Below are 15,667 nucleotides of genomic sequence, written 5' to 3'. Positions count from 1 at the left end.
TTTTAGCCTCCAGCTGCATGACTCCTAAATCATAATTTCTAATCTTATAGTTAACTTGTTAGTCCTGCAAAGACAGTCTAGTCCCCGTGTAGGAAGGGGTTCTGTTTTGGGAAAGGGCTGTTACCATCTTGGTTTCAAAGTTAACCTATTAAAGTAAGGTCCTTCCACAGTTAGTTCAGCCTATGCCCAGGAATGAACTAGGACAGCTTGGAGGTTAGAAGAAAGATGGAATCAGTTAGGTCAGATCACTTCACTATCGTAATTTTCTGTTATAATTTTTGCAAAGGTGGTTTTATTTATCAAATTTTAATAAGAATCATGCTAAGTCAGGTTAGCCAGAATCCCATACCCTCAATATACAATCACCCTTGATATATGATCAGGTTCCTCATGTTCCACCATTCCCTTGGTGATGTTTGATCACTCTGGCCTGCTTTCAGCAAGAGTCTTGTTAGGTCATTTTAGCCCAGAATCTCGTCTTGTCCCTGAATTTTCCTGTTAGTAATTTTCAATCCATTGACCCTCACCCTACTCTTTGGCTGTAACTGCTAATTTTCCTTGCTGTATTCAGAATTGAGCCTCATCTCTCTCTCTCTCCTACTAAAAAACTCCATTGCAGTAGACCCTCCCCTTTACCATTCTTGAATCATGATAAATATTCTTAATAGTGTCAAATATATATATGTAAATTTGTGTATTTATGTATATGTAATTTATGTATGGATTTATATACATGTATATGGAAACAAATTTACATATAAAATGTTTATATAACCATACATGTAGCTTCATGCACATATATACACAAAAATATATAAATATAACATACACATATATGTATGAATAACATACATAGAAATAATTGCAAAAATATAATCATATTATTATGCTCTATTTTCATTTCATCAATAAATATTTAAAACCCTTGTGTGTTTTTATCTATGAGCATAAGCTGTATGTGTATATATTTTTTTCATACACTCACACACACAAATATGAACTTATTTCTAAGTCATCAACTAGGGATAAATTCATACGAAGTCATGTATTCAATCACCTATTTTTGGACATTTAGGGTACCCCATTTGAAAATTATTATTGTTGTATTTTAATATTTTTCCACATACATGGAATATTAAAATAAACATTCCTTTGGTAAAATAACAATACACTAAATGCAGTGAAATAACTGAGTAACATTTTAAAAATTTAGATATAGATTATAAAATGTTATATAATAAGATCAAACCAGTTGTAGTTTATGAAAGTGTTCCTTTCTTCTACTCTGTAAATCTTTTGCTAATATTTTCAAATATGATGATATCCCAGATGACTCAGTGAAAAGTTGATATCAATATTTTGGTAATTTATATTATGATTTTTACTTGTATCCAATACTTCCTCTTATTTATTGGTCATTTGCAAGTCCAGTACCTCTCCAATCTCAAGTACTTCGCTCATCTTTTGTTTTTTTTCTTGCTATTTTTCTGGCTTAGAAAACCTCAAAGCTCATTTAATTGAACCCTACCTTCTCTAGGTCTCCAGGTGAACATAGGTGAAAAAAGAAAATACCGTCTCACTTTTGAAGTGTGACCGCTAAGTACTGCCATTCTTTAGTATAGCCTGGCAATCTCACTATAGTTCCAAGTTCACTCATGCTTTTTCTGTCCTGGATGACTCTTTCACAGCTTCTCTCTTCTCAACTCTCCAAAACTTTTACCATTTGCTGTTTCCCTAAACTCAGCTCCATCACACGGGCATCCTCTTATTGTCCCTGAAACTTACTAAACACATTTAATGTTGTGTTTTTGTCTTCTGTCTGGAAAATGCTTTGTCCACATGATTCATGGCCTTATTTCATTCACATATATTTCTCTGAGCATCCCATGTTAACGAGCAGCTCTGAAACTGCAAACCATATGGCCTAATTCTCTTACTCCACTTTATTATTCAGCATTACATTTATCCCATAATGGACTTGGTTATTGATTTTATTTCCTACTACTAGAATTTCATACTCTTGAAACACATAGATTCTTTTATGTTCATTAGTTTATTGCTATATTTGGAACCTAAACCATACAAAGTAATGCATTACGTATACTAAAAAAATTAACTTGCCTTTTTTTGGTCAGTTGTCTATTCAACTATTTGCCTTTTCTTTCTTTTTGATTTATTTTTTGATCCATTAAACTTTTCTAATAAATTTATCTGGAGTTTTTATGCATTGAAATTATAAAGCTTTCCTTAAATGTGTTAAATTTCCCAGGGTTCTGGTAGTCTTTATTATTTCTGATATAGAATGACAGATATTTTGGATTTGTATTTATATAAGTTTGTAAACTGTCTACTTCTCTCTGTGATTCTCTCTGTGATTCCATTTTTAGAAAGCCTTTTTCTTTTTCCAAATGAGAGCACTATTTCTATTTGTTATTTATTATATTGTATATGTTTTACTTCACATTTATGTTGAATATTCATGAATTTTATTTTGGTTTATGGTATAGAGTAAAAACTAAGTTTCTTATGCCACTTTTGCCACATTCCATATTCCTATATACTTTTGAGTCTGTTACAGACATTCCTGGTATATTCTTTTTGATGATCTTTTTATTCCTGCAGCTGAGCCTAACTTTTCAATATTCTAAACGTATAAAGTTTTATTAACTTAGGATGAATACATTCCCTCTTGTCATCTTCCTTTCTCAAATTTACTTTAAACATCCTTGTTCAATACTTCTAGACAAAATTTAAAATAATTAAATGCTCCCCAGCTTATCCCCAGAAAAATCTAGGAATATTGATGTTTTCATTTCTTAATTACTCTGATGAAAGTCAACATCTTTTAAGCATTACTTTTTGTTTGTTTGTTTGTACAGCAATATGACATGTTTTTCTATTTTAAGGTGACGTTTTGTCCTTTAAATTTAAATTTAACATAAAATGTTTACTTGTATATACAAGGTTATGATTATGGAAACAGAAAATAAGCAGCAAAATCTTAGAAAAAAGTAAAACTTAGTGTAATATACAATCTTTTTCTTTACTCTTAATAAGTCATGGAAAGTCCTACCCACTTCTCAGAAGTAAACATGTGTAACATTTTGTAGTGTAGTATTTTTAACTTTTCTGCATGTTTAAGTAAATATAGGTACATAGCTGTAGAGTAAATATCAAAGCATTTTGGAACTTGCTTTTACATTTGAAATAGATTTTTAAGGATAATAGGTGTGACTGTAAACCATTGCTTACAGTTTTGTGTCGTATGCCAAATATTCAATAGCATATTTCAGTGGTTCTCACCAAGGCCTAGACCCTGATTAGGCCGCCTGTAAGTTTCTGATGATTTTGGTGAGTGGTGCACCCAGCACTGGTATTCTTACAAACATTTTAGGTAATTCAAATGTGTACCTAGGATTGGTAACTGCCACTTAATGTGAACCGTGATTTCTTAACCAATTATTTATTGATGAATGTTTGGATCCCACTAAGCTAGATTTTGCTGCACTAACAAACAACCCCAACACCTCCCTGGATTAACACTATAGAAGATTATTTCTTCTTATGCTATATGTCTAATACAAGGAGATGGGCCTGAGGCTGTGACTGGCATTAGGGCTTTTCATAGATATTTGGTGTTATCTCTTTGTCCAAGCAGATGGAGAATAATTAAAACATGGAGCAGAGTCCTTAGAGAGCCCATGAGTATTTTGCATGAGTGAGAAATAATCCTTTATTGGATTAAGCCATGGATGGTCTCATCTGGAAGGTTTTAATTACTACAGCAAAATGTAAGCTATCCCAACTTAAAAGGGATGTCTGCTCATTGGAGTTACCCAGCAGCCCAGGCTAAAAAACACTTTATCTCAACCTGACTGCCAATAATCATACAAAAGTAGAAAGGGATGGAGTGAGTGAAATGGGGTCTATTTTTTTTTAAAGCTTTAGAACTAGAAATGGCGTTTATCACTTAATCTCATATGGCCAAAAGCAACCTAACCCCCAAAGACTTTGAATTCATTATATGATTGGAATATGAAGAGCCAGATATATTTGGTAAGCAGCTCCAGTGGCAATCACAATGGCAATACTCTTCCTATGTATAAAGAATAGCAAAGGAAAGAGTCACATATTTAGATCTACATGCTTTATATCTTTACATTAAAATAATCAGAAATTTATTTAGGGACATAAATTATCACAGCACCTGATGATCTATTGGTGAAAAAATAAATAAATAAATGTCATTAGGTGTTATTCCTTTTTGACATACTATTGATACAGGAGGGGGCAGGGAAGTGCTGGGTAGAGGAGAGTTGGGTTCCTGGCCAGGGCTCCAACCTCAGGCCCTGTGCGCATGGACCTAAGTGAGAACAAGCACTCCTGTTTTCGTGCCCGAATGTTGCATTTTTCCCAGACATCTCTGGCCCACCACGCCCTCCACCTTGTGCCCATATAAACCCCAGACCTTAGCAGACAAACACACAAGCAGCTGAACATCGAGACCAGCAGACCAACAGACCAGCAATGGTGGAAAAAAGCGGCAGAGAAAGAGAGAAGAGGAGGGACGTTTAGACACTGAGGGGAATTCAGCCGGGGGCAGTTGGAGAAGAGTCCGGCTGCTGGGAGACCCGACTCCAGGGGGAGACGACCTTATCCCCGCATCACTCCTTCCAACTCCCCATCCACCTCGCTGACAGCCACCTCCACCCCTCAATACAAATTTGCACTCATCCTTTAAGCCAGCGTGTGATCTGATTCTTTCAGGATACTGGGCAAAAGCTCAGGATACAGAAGGCTGTCACACTGACCCTCTGCCCTTGAGATAAGGCAGAGGGTCAATTGAGCTGATTAACACACAAGCCATCTGCAGATGGCATATCTGAAAGAGCTTTGTAACACATGCCCACTCGTGCTTCGGGAGTCGCAGACATACAGCCCTAGATGCTGCCATGAGGCTGGAGCCCAAAAGCGCTCGTGCCGACCCGGCCTCTGCATCTGCCCATCTGTATGCTCCCCATAGGGGTTTGAGCTAAAGGGTGACCAAGCAGGCAAGCCACACCTCTGTCGCATGCCCTGGGATGGGAATCAGGGAACTTTCCTGTTTCGCTATCTAATAATTATCAATGATAAGTTTGTTGTAAGTTAAATGTATTGCATATGTATGGATTATTTTAAGGTGAAAACATAGTAAAAGAAGTAAAAAAAAAAATGAATGGATTATAGAGTCCCCTAAATCTATGTTCAAATCCCAAGTTAACCTGTTAACCACACTGGGCCAAGATTTAATTCCTCTAAGCCTGTTTATCCACCAGTAATACATACCATGATGTTGCGTATCTCTTACAATTATGTGAGATAATGTATATAATGCACCAAGTACATTGGCAAGTTCATAGAAAGGACTCAAGAAACAGTGTATTACTCTGAACCCCCATCTTTCTTCCATGCCTCATGACCCTAATAAATTTTATATCCATAAATATAAATGTAACTTTCGTGTCAGAATTAAGAGAAATATAATACTTAGTTGCAGATTTCAAAAAGAAAGAGAAAATAAATGATATCACAAGCAAAGTCAATTACCTTGGCAAGAAAAAGTCAGGCTACCCAGCAATAAACATCCCTGCCAGATAGAGTTATTTCTTCACCTTTTTAATTACATCAGTTCATTTGCAGACATAAAGAATCAAAAAGAAAAAAGAAAATGCAGGTCGATGTGTGTGACAGCGAAAGATAAGATCAAATGAAAGTTCTGTGGGAGCCATTTTGACATATCCTGGGTCTTGTTAAAGCGGCAGGGCATCTGAAAAGTTTTGATTCTGTTATGCCACAAGGCATTGAGCAGCATATTTAGTGGAAATGAAAGAGGACACCTATTGCTCCTCGAGTGCTTTCTCCTAAAACAGGCAAGGACACAGAATTCAGAGAAGCTTTTTTTCTTTTTTTTCTTTCCCCCCAATGAAAATTGCATTCTTTTACCTTTGCCTTTGTTTGTGACAAGGCCTTTTTCTCGTTACCTCAAGAATAATTTCAAAAAAAAAGTAGATAAAACCCAGCAGAGACTTTAAAAACTAAAAGTGTTCAACTTGAATTTTACATACTTACTCTTTGACCCCACATTTATGAGGAATATTTTCCTTACAAATACAACACATTTTTACAATTACTTCTGAAAATGATTTTTAAAAAACAAGCTTATGCATACTTTTAAGGGTAAAACAGCATAAGAGTTTCATCTAAACACTGAATCAGGAAAAATCTCAAAACAAAACAAAAATAATTATTTGTCTGGGTGTGGTGGCTCACGCCTGTAATCCCAGCAGGCCAAGGTGGGTGGATCACCTGAGGTCAGGAGTTTGAGACCAGCATCACCAGTATGGTGAAATCCCATCTCTACTAAAAATACAAAAATTAGCCGGGCGTGGTGGTGTGCACCTGTAGTCCCAGCTAGTCGGGAGGCTGAGACAGGAGAATTGCTTGAACCCCAGAGGCAGAGGGTGCAGTGAGCTGAGATCGCACCATTGCACTCCAGTCTGGGCAACAGAGCAAGAGTCAGTCTCAAATAATAATAATAATAATAATAATAATAATTTTTATAACCTATAACACACAGCAGATATTCCCAAGTTATTAAATGGCAGATAATGATAGTTAATAATTAGTCAAGGTAATTTGACTGCTTTAGGTTTCTGCTTTTGGTATCACCAATAATATTTACAAATTTTTGGTTTTTCTTAATATATAGATGGCTCATTTATTAAATTTCATATAGCATAGGACTTAAAAGGACAATCAGTGTAATAGGTTGCATGAATAAATTCATGTTCTGTACCTCCGCCTGCTGGGATTGAGGACCAGAACAAATACTATAAATTAAAATAAGAATAAATACAAAGATAGCCAATCAAGGAATTTCAGAGCATATATATATATGTATGTGCATATATATATGCATATATATGTATGTATATATATATATATGCATATATATGTATGTATATATATATGCATATATATGTATGTATATATATATATACATATATATATAAAGAACCATGTAGAAAGACTTTCTTTTTTAAGAGTTGAAGTAATAAAAAAGGGAAAGTAAACCGCAATTCTAGACATAATGCAAAAAAAAAAAAAATTCAGTGTTGTGAGGTCAGTCAGGGAAAATTCTGTGGCAAGACAGCAAAGATAAGTGAAAGTGCTGCTCAATGTAAAAAAAAAGTCCTAAGTAGCTGTCTAAAGGGTGTTTGGTAAATTTTGAAGTAGAAGAATGATGTTCAAAAAAATAATATGCAATTTAACTGTTATCATTTTGTGCAACAGAGTGTCCATATTCAAAAAGATCTGTGTCACAATTTTGTGAAAACATTGATAACCTGAACTGTATTTCAGAGGACAATAACCAGGATGAAGTGATTTGGCACAATTGTACATTACATGTGAAAAAGCTAATGAAATTTACACTAAGCAAGTATACTTTTTCTAAAAAAATGATTCTTGCATTCAAAAAGTGTTAGGGCTGCCATTTTGAATAGAAACTATGTTTTCTGTGTAACGTCTTACTACTGAAAATAGTAGAAATTGTAAAAAGTAAGTCTTGTCAAAAATATAAGAGAAATAAATGTCTTTAATGAAGCATTAGCTAATCACTATTGAGAATTTGCATTGTTGCGGGCACCATTGTATAAGCTTCCAATATATTTATCCATTTAAATGACACATCAGCTTGTTATTTAGAAACTATTATTTATGCCATGACACATGTGACAAAACTGAAATTAAACAGAAGTATTTTCTTTTAAAAGACAGAAACTTGTTTTATATAATATACATTAGAGCCAGAATTTGAACTAAAGCCCTCTGGTCAAAGAGCTGGTGATCTTAACTACCTCCTCATTATAAAACTTGATGCAAGGTGGTTGACCGTTTTAGCCCCTTAATGATTACAGAATTGAATCCAATGAGTGAAGTGCCATATTCAAGGCATACAGATTGGAAAAAGACAGCAAAAAGAACTCCAGAGTCTTGACTCTCAGAACAAGTTTGTTTTTCTCCTGTCGTTAGTTTGACTCATATTATTGGCCTTCCATTGCTTTCCTCAAATTATCTACATGGCAGTGTTTACAAAACTAAGGTTCCTATGATTATTGAAGAGCAAATGGGTGCTTAGGAAGAAATCCAAGGGACTGTTCAGTGACATTGTTCATTATAAGACTGAGAAATCAGAAGAAGCTCAGCAAAATACAGTCGTATTACTGACTCTTTGAGCTAATAATTGTTAGACTGTGAGAGTCTTTAGAATGTAGAAAGAAAACTTTCTACAGTTTTTTTATAATTCTGATATTTTAAATGGTATTCAAGGCAAGACTATACCTTGACAGTGAAATCAAAGAAGAGAAGGCAAGAAATGCATATCTAAGGCAAAAGAGAGCATAAGAATCATAAGGTTAAATTGCAGGCTAAAAAATACAGAACATCTAGATTTCACCTCCTTCAGTTCTTACCCAGGAAACCTCTTCTTCCTCCTCACTTCTTTTATTATTTCCTTCAACAAATATTTGATAAATGCAGAGGTAAATGTGCAGAGTTCCTGACTAAATGACTTATTTACCTTACTGTAGAGCGGCTGTGGAAAAAGACAAAATGCAAATTAACAATACAAGCATGCATGTTATGTACAAAGTGTTTCCCTTTCTGCATGTTGAAACTGATAATACATAACATGATGATTTCAGCAAACATGTTAGAGCATCAGATTGTGAGTACCGACACAGCCCCTGCTCAGGTTTTAATAAAGTATTCCTTTTCATTCATGAAGACCCACAAAAACGAGTTTCTGAATTTTGTGACTTGTAATTGTCTGAATGCCGAATCCTTAAGAAAGGCATTTGATTTTTTAACAGTAATGATAAACTTGTGCCATAACACTATACCTTCTTAGTACAAACTTCCCTCTTCTCAACTTGTCAACATAAAGGTCTCTATGTGTTGGACTAAAACTGTTCAATGTCAGCTTGATATTTATATTATATATCTAGAAATTAATGTTTGTCCTGAATAATGGTTCCATCAAAGATAACTGTTAACCATACTTTTTGGCGATATATGATACATGAATATTCCACTTATATAGTGGTAAAACATAAGAGAACTTGATTCACATGGAATTCAGCTGGAAATTGAAAGAGAGCATTAGAATTTTATAAATAAATTCCTGATTCTATTTTGCAATTTGGCCGACATGATTTTCTGCAATAAGTAAAGATTATCTAGGGAGTAAGAAGAACATGCAAATAGCATTTATAGTTTCCAATGGATTATGGGTTTCAAAGAGGCCTGTTAGATGACAACACAGCACCAAGTCAAAATGTATTGTGTGGGAAAGGAGTTTACAAAACTAGGAAACTGAGTTTTAGGAGACATTATCATAACACAGTTATAGGCATAGAAATATTAAGATGAAGTTACTAGGCTAAGATATAAATAAAACATGTATTGTAATATATGACTATATATATTACATAAATTTAGGGCAGAAGGAGAGTTAATCTGATGCTGAATTTCTGAATAGTTAAAAAGAGCTTCTAACATGCTTTCTTTCTAAGGCCAGAAATGGCCCTAGAGATTAATGTCTACTGATATCTGCAATAGTGGGTGGTGCGGAAGTTATGTCTTATTTATTTGTGTATCTAAGAAGCCAGGAAAGAACTTAATGCACAGTAAATGCTCAATATGAATACTAAGCAAACTTTGATAAATATAATAATCAGCTTTATTTAATTCTGAGGAATCTGAGCCTTCAGAAAATCTAAATAAATAAAACAAAAGTCCAAGGTACATCTCTGAATAGTAATTACTACAATAATATTATGAAACAAAATAAAACAAATCGGTCAGAAATAAAAGGAGAGAAATCATGCATATGGCACAATCAAGTTAAAAAGATGATAACTAAATTACTGAATAATGTGCTAAGCACATTATATAAATTATACCTTTTAATCCAACAAAAATTAAAAGTTTTATTAAAAAGCAGGTAATATTTTTATTTGCATGTTAGAAAATTGAGGTTTTGAGATTAGATTACAGGGCATGGTCACAAAGCTAGAAAGTTGTTGACTCAGAGATTTAATTCAGATCTGTCTCATTCCGTAACAGGTCAGAGTTTAGTAATCTGGAAAAGGAGATCTGCGGTTTCAATCCAAGTTGGGGAGTGCCATTTGGCATATGTGGACTATGTAACTCACTGGGAAACTGTGTCTCTTGCTGCTAAATACTAGTTGTGTATAATATATGAATTCTGTGTTATCGAAGTGCTTTGTTCCAGAAGGAGTCAGCTTCTCATTAGCAACCCAGGCAGCAAGCTGAATGTATTATAACTCAAAACCAAAATAGAATCTTACTTTCACATAGGTAAATAGAATCTTACTTTCACATAGGTAAATAGAATCTTACCAAAATAGAATCTTACTTTCATTTGAGCAACGCAGGAGAATATTAGAAGGTCTGAATTACATATGGCTGAGGGTATCAATAAGATAAAGACTGATCAAACACAGAATTAAAATAAAATTAGTTAAATTACTATTTCTGAGGCCCTCATGCATAAATAGAAATAAAGTGTAGAAATATATAAAATGTAACAATTTTAGAAAAATATATTCCCTTCTCTGGTATATATTTATACACACACATATAAATATATACACATGTATTTTATATACATATGTATTTTATATATATGAAATATTTTGTGAGGTGGGGTCTTGCTATGTTGCCCAGGAGACTGGAGTGAAGTGGCTGTTCACAGGCACAATCATCGTGGGCTGCAGCCTTGAACTTTTGGTGTCAAGCAGTCCACCCACCTCAGCCTCCTAAGCAGCTGGGACTACAGGTGAATGCCATTGGATGTGGCTCTCATCTTCAGTTTATGATGGAATGGGGGCTGGAGTAGGTGAGCTAATGGTATGGGATTGGTAATATTTTCATAATGAGAGACACAACAATAACAATGTAATAATGTGAAGGAAGTTGTTGTATGCAGACTTCCAGGATGGCTGCCAAAGATATTTTCCATTTGGTGTTAATGCCCTTATAGAATCTGTTCATTTGAGTGTGGGCTGGACATAGTGACTTGATGCTACCAATAAAAGACAACAATAGTGCTGAGATTTAATTTGTATGACTAAATTACAAAAGACTGCAACTTCTTTCTGAATGGCACATTCTCTCTTTATTGCCATTTTTGCTAGCATGCTTTGAAAAAGCAAGCTACCACAAGAGAAGTCAACACGTCAAAAAACTGGGGGTGGTTTCCAGCCAAAATCCATCGAGAACTGAGGCCCTTTGTCCAACAGCCCTTTAGGAATTCAATTCTGTCGATTAAATTTGGAACTCTATGTTTCTACAGCTGAGCCTTCAGCTGGGACTGTAGACCCTGAGCTGACACATTGATTCATTACAGACTTCTGAAAGAATATGAATCAGAGAATCCAAATAAGCCATGCCCAGGTTCCTAACTCATACAAACATGGAGATAATAAATTAGTGTTGTGTTAAGCCACTGAATTTGGGGTAATTTGTTATGCAGCAATAGATAACGAATACAGAAGAATTGGCTGATAACTCGTTGTATTTTTTGCATTGATTTTATATCCCTTCCAATCTCAGCCATCCCTACAACCTGATGTGGACTCAATAGCTGTTGTAAACCACTGTCAACTCTTTTTACATGCATCTTAGAAACATAATATTTCTTTTTGTTCATTTCCATTTTGCAGTCTAACTTGGAGAAAGCCCAGAGAACCTGTGCAAAGGAAGCAGATTGAAAACTCAAATAAAATGTGAAAGCATGAATTCAAAGAAAGAATATCCAGTGTTATGGCCTGTAGTGGTAGAAACACTAACCCTAGTACTTGGAGTTTTTTCAAATATAATTTTATCATAAATTATAAATAGAGTTTATTATAAAATAAAATTTTGAGTCAAATTAAATTACTAATTTTGGAACACATTCTTTTTGTAGAGTTAATTGAAAAATTACTTTTGAACAATAGACAATTATGTTAAATCTTATTGTGTTAGTGCATAATTGAGGAAGTGCATGACAAAAGACATTTGCTTTGTCATAGAAAAATTGAAGTAAGTTAAATATTTGATTATATGAATATTTTTTCTCTCTTTTGCAGTAGATCGTTTTTTTATTTTAAAAACTTATTATAGAAAACTATATAAACAGTCAATGAGATTTTATATTTTATGGGGTTATCTAATCCAATTTCACATCCCCAACACTATTTCTTTGCCATTTCCCTTACCAATCTAACTTGCCACAATAGGCATTTTAACAAAAGCTTCAACAGATTGTTTGTTTCACTTTGGAATTCCACATAGCCTTAAATATCTTAATTTTTGTCGTGACTACTTAACATTAATGTATTTTTATGCAGAGTCTCCACATTAACCCTCTCAGCAACCGTCTAAAGTAAGCATCATCATTCATATCCATTTATGTGTAAATTTGGCATATATAAGAATACAGAGGGTAGATAACTTTGCAAGGCTAAATAGCCAAGGCTAAATTCTTACACAGACAATCTGGTCTCATAGCCCACACATCTCAGCTTCATGTCATACTCTATAGTATTTACACAATGAACACTGATTTTTTAAAATATTTTTATTGTGAATTCTCCCTCTCTGCCTTCCTCTGTTGTCTATAAACTTTGTAAGCATGTCATATTTTACCTTTTTTTCCCGATTATTTCATATTCTATGTTAAGGCCAGTAATGAACAAATGTGACTTTACAAAGGGTTCTACCTTCTGCACAATTTATGCTATTTATTTTGAATTATATCATTAATTGGAATTTTAAAATATTTTAACTACAAACAGATCCCAGGCTGAGTTAATGTGGACCATATCGGTTTGGTGTTTCCCCAAACTGGCAAAGACTATTAGAAGTTACAGACTCTGTCATCCCCTTTTTATGTATTTGTGTCTCACCTCCATTCCAAAGTTAAAGTCCAGTAATCTTTTGTTAGTATTCTTTTCTTTCAAGTATTTGAGCTGGAAGTCCCAGAGTGTAAAGTCTATATGGGAGGACTGTCCAGTTTTAAAGTGGATTTGGCCTGGTGTTCCCGTTGGCCAATGCAATGGTACTGGGCAGGCAGGGAGAATAAGAACATAAAGCCAGACAGCTTGGCTTGAATCACAGCATGTCTTATGCTAGCTAGACCAACTTGGGCAAACTACGTAACCTTTCTGTGATGTATTTACATTTATAAAGTGAAGATAATGGTCTCTGCTTCATAGTTTTATTATGAGGATTGAATAGGGACTAAAAGCAAGTGTTACATAAGTGTTTGCAAAATGAAAATATAAAAATGTACATAATGAGAAAGTAGAGGATAACAAGGAGAATTGGCATGAAATAGAATATGCAGTAATGAAAGATGGGTAAATATATATAGATCCCAATGCTTTGGCTCCTGAATCCAGATGTAGTTCCTGAGAAATGTCCTTTGTACCTTTAAAATAAATTCTCCTTTTTTATTTAAACTATTATAAATGAACTTGTGTTTCTTAAAACTAAATAAGACTTACTTGACTAGAAAACTAATATAGAGAGGATTAAAATTGGTTACATAGATAAAATGCTTAGCACAATATATAGCATATAGAAAATGTTTAATAAATCGTAGCTAAAATTGTTCCTCTAACTCCATCTTTATTTAGTTTTTCTAACATTTAGCTATAATTTTGTCATTTTTATGTTCAGATATTTTATTTCCTTAAAAAGACTCAGTCATGATGCACCCATCCTGATCTGTCAAACATTCTGCTTCTTTGCCTATTCTTAATTTTTCTGGCTTCTGAATAAGAAACATGTTTTCTTTGTTATACCCCTCTTATTTGCCTCATATTCCTGGCACAACATGTACAGCTTAGGTATACTGGAAAATCAATTATATTGTTTTGAGACAAACAACCAAAATACCTTGCCTAATCAAACCCAAACCCTAGGTTGTTATTTTCTTATCGTAAGACCTCAAAAAAAGATCTATCTCTGTATCATACAGTCAAATGGTTTTACAAAGAGCCAATCATTTATTTGAAGAGTTGCTCCTGGAATCTTCTTAGATGGTGTTGACTTCTTTTCTTGTGTCTTCCTACCATGGGTGTTAGGTTATCAGAAGGTTTTAGAACCCTCATGTATTGTAAACTCTAGTTCGCTCTCGTGACTATGCTCTTGGGCATAATAAGGTTGGTATTATGAGTGCTTGTAATCAAGATGTTGGCTCCTGAGGGCATTTCAAATTCTTGAGCAGCTGCTTTATTTAACTGTTCACAGAAAGTCATGCTAGCAGTAACATTTTTACCCATTTATAAGCAAGATATTTTGTATTGAAATAACTATTGCATTTGATCCAGTTACTTTTTTATTTATCTTATATAGTGATTTACTATTTGAAGAGATTTAATTTTTCATCAAAGATATTTATGGAAATGTATCGATAGGTAATATTACACTTGTCAAAACTAAAAATAAATTGCATAAAAATGGCTTTTTGGGAAAAAAGAAGCTATGCAAGGTGCATTTCCCATTTTGATTTTATTTCCTAATGAAAACAACAATCCTAAGGGTTGGTGAAATAGTTCTGCTTCTTAGCTCTGCTTCACTTTATTTTTGTGTGACAAATACAATATTCTCAGAAGTTGAAAATATTTTCAAATCATGTAAATCTAGTGAAAATATATAAAATACAGGTGCTAAGGATTGTAAAGCCCTAACTGAGTAATTCAACAAACACTGTTGAAATGAGAACAACTTTTCAAAGCATTTGGTCAGAATGGTCTAAAATTGGGATGACAAATCCATTCAGAAATAGCTCTTTCCTTCAGATGTAGCTCCTTTCCCATCTATACAATTTGTGGTTCATTCAGTAAATGTCAATGCAAATATAAAGGACAACTATTCTTACTGATTTTACAAAATTTTGCCATTGCAAAGGAGTAATGTTGACATTTATCATTCAACAATAACATCCTTAAGAAACTAAACCATTGTAGATGTTTTTAGAACATTGACTAAGTTGCCTTTATCCTTCTTATACTTTCCATATCATTATGCATACCATCAAATCCCAAATATGCAGCATAGAATTATTTTTGGAAACTTTATTTAGGGTCCTATTAAGCTATCATCACATTTTCAAATATACATTCCATATTAGCTATTAGATACCAGAATATGTCAATCAAAATGATCAGAAATATTGATAAGTAGTAAGTGTGCTGGCCTAGAAGCAGCATGACTTTGTGGGGATGCAGACCTGGTTTCTAATTTCAGCTCTGGCTTCTACTACCTGGGAAAGTTGTATCATGTCTCTGACTATTGACTGAGTATACGTAACTTGAGCTAATTATTTATTTGTATTGTTATTACCTCTCAGAAATGAAAATAAAATGTCCTCACAGGCAAATAGAACCAACCATGCTTTTTTATAGGACCATCATGAAAACTAAATAAGTTAATTAATATAAAGTTTTCTGTGTGGTTCTTGGAACAAAGTAACTGTTGAATAAATTTTAGCTTATATTTCATTTTATCTACCCAAGTATAGCTTACACCTTTTGAAATTTTTCCCCTTTAA

At 33.9% G+C, this 15,667-nt stretch overlaps 1 long non-coding RNA gene across 5 annotated transcripts in view; it reads right to left on the bottom strand.

The window, feature by feature from the left end:
• Window positions 1–15,667, bottom strand: part of LOC105376635 (uncharacterized) — a 41,273-nt gene that overhangs the window by 15,252 nt on the left and 10,354 nt on the right. For 3 of the 5 annotated variants that reach the window (NR_188554.1, NR_188552.1, NR_188553.1), the window contains 2 exons: window positions 8,514–8,635; window positions 5,640–5,900 (listed from right to left, as the gene is read on the bottom strand). The exons of the other annotated variants lie outside the window; for them this stretch is intronic. This is a non-coding gene — a long non-coding RNA (uncharacterized LOC105376635). Of the gene's footprint in view, window positions 1–5,639; window positions 5,901–8,513; window positions 8,636–15,667 lie in introns of those variants that run through there. 5 annotated transcript variants of the gene reach the window in all.

This window comes from Homo sapiens, chromosome 11 (assembly GCF_000001405.40).
Source record: "Homo sapiens chromosome 11, GRCh38.p14 Primary Assembly".
Taxonomy (NCBI): domain Eukaryota; kingdom Metazoa; phylum Chordata; class Mammalia; order Primates; family Hominidae; genus Homo; species Homo sapiens.
This window is presented reverse-complemented; position numbering and strand designations above follow the sequence as displayed.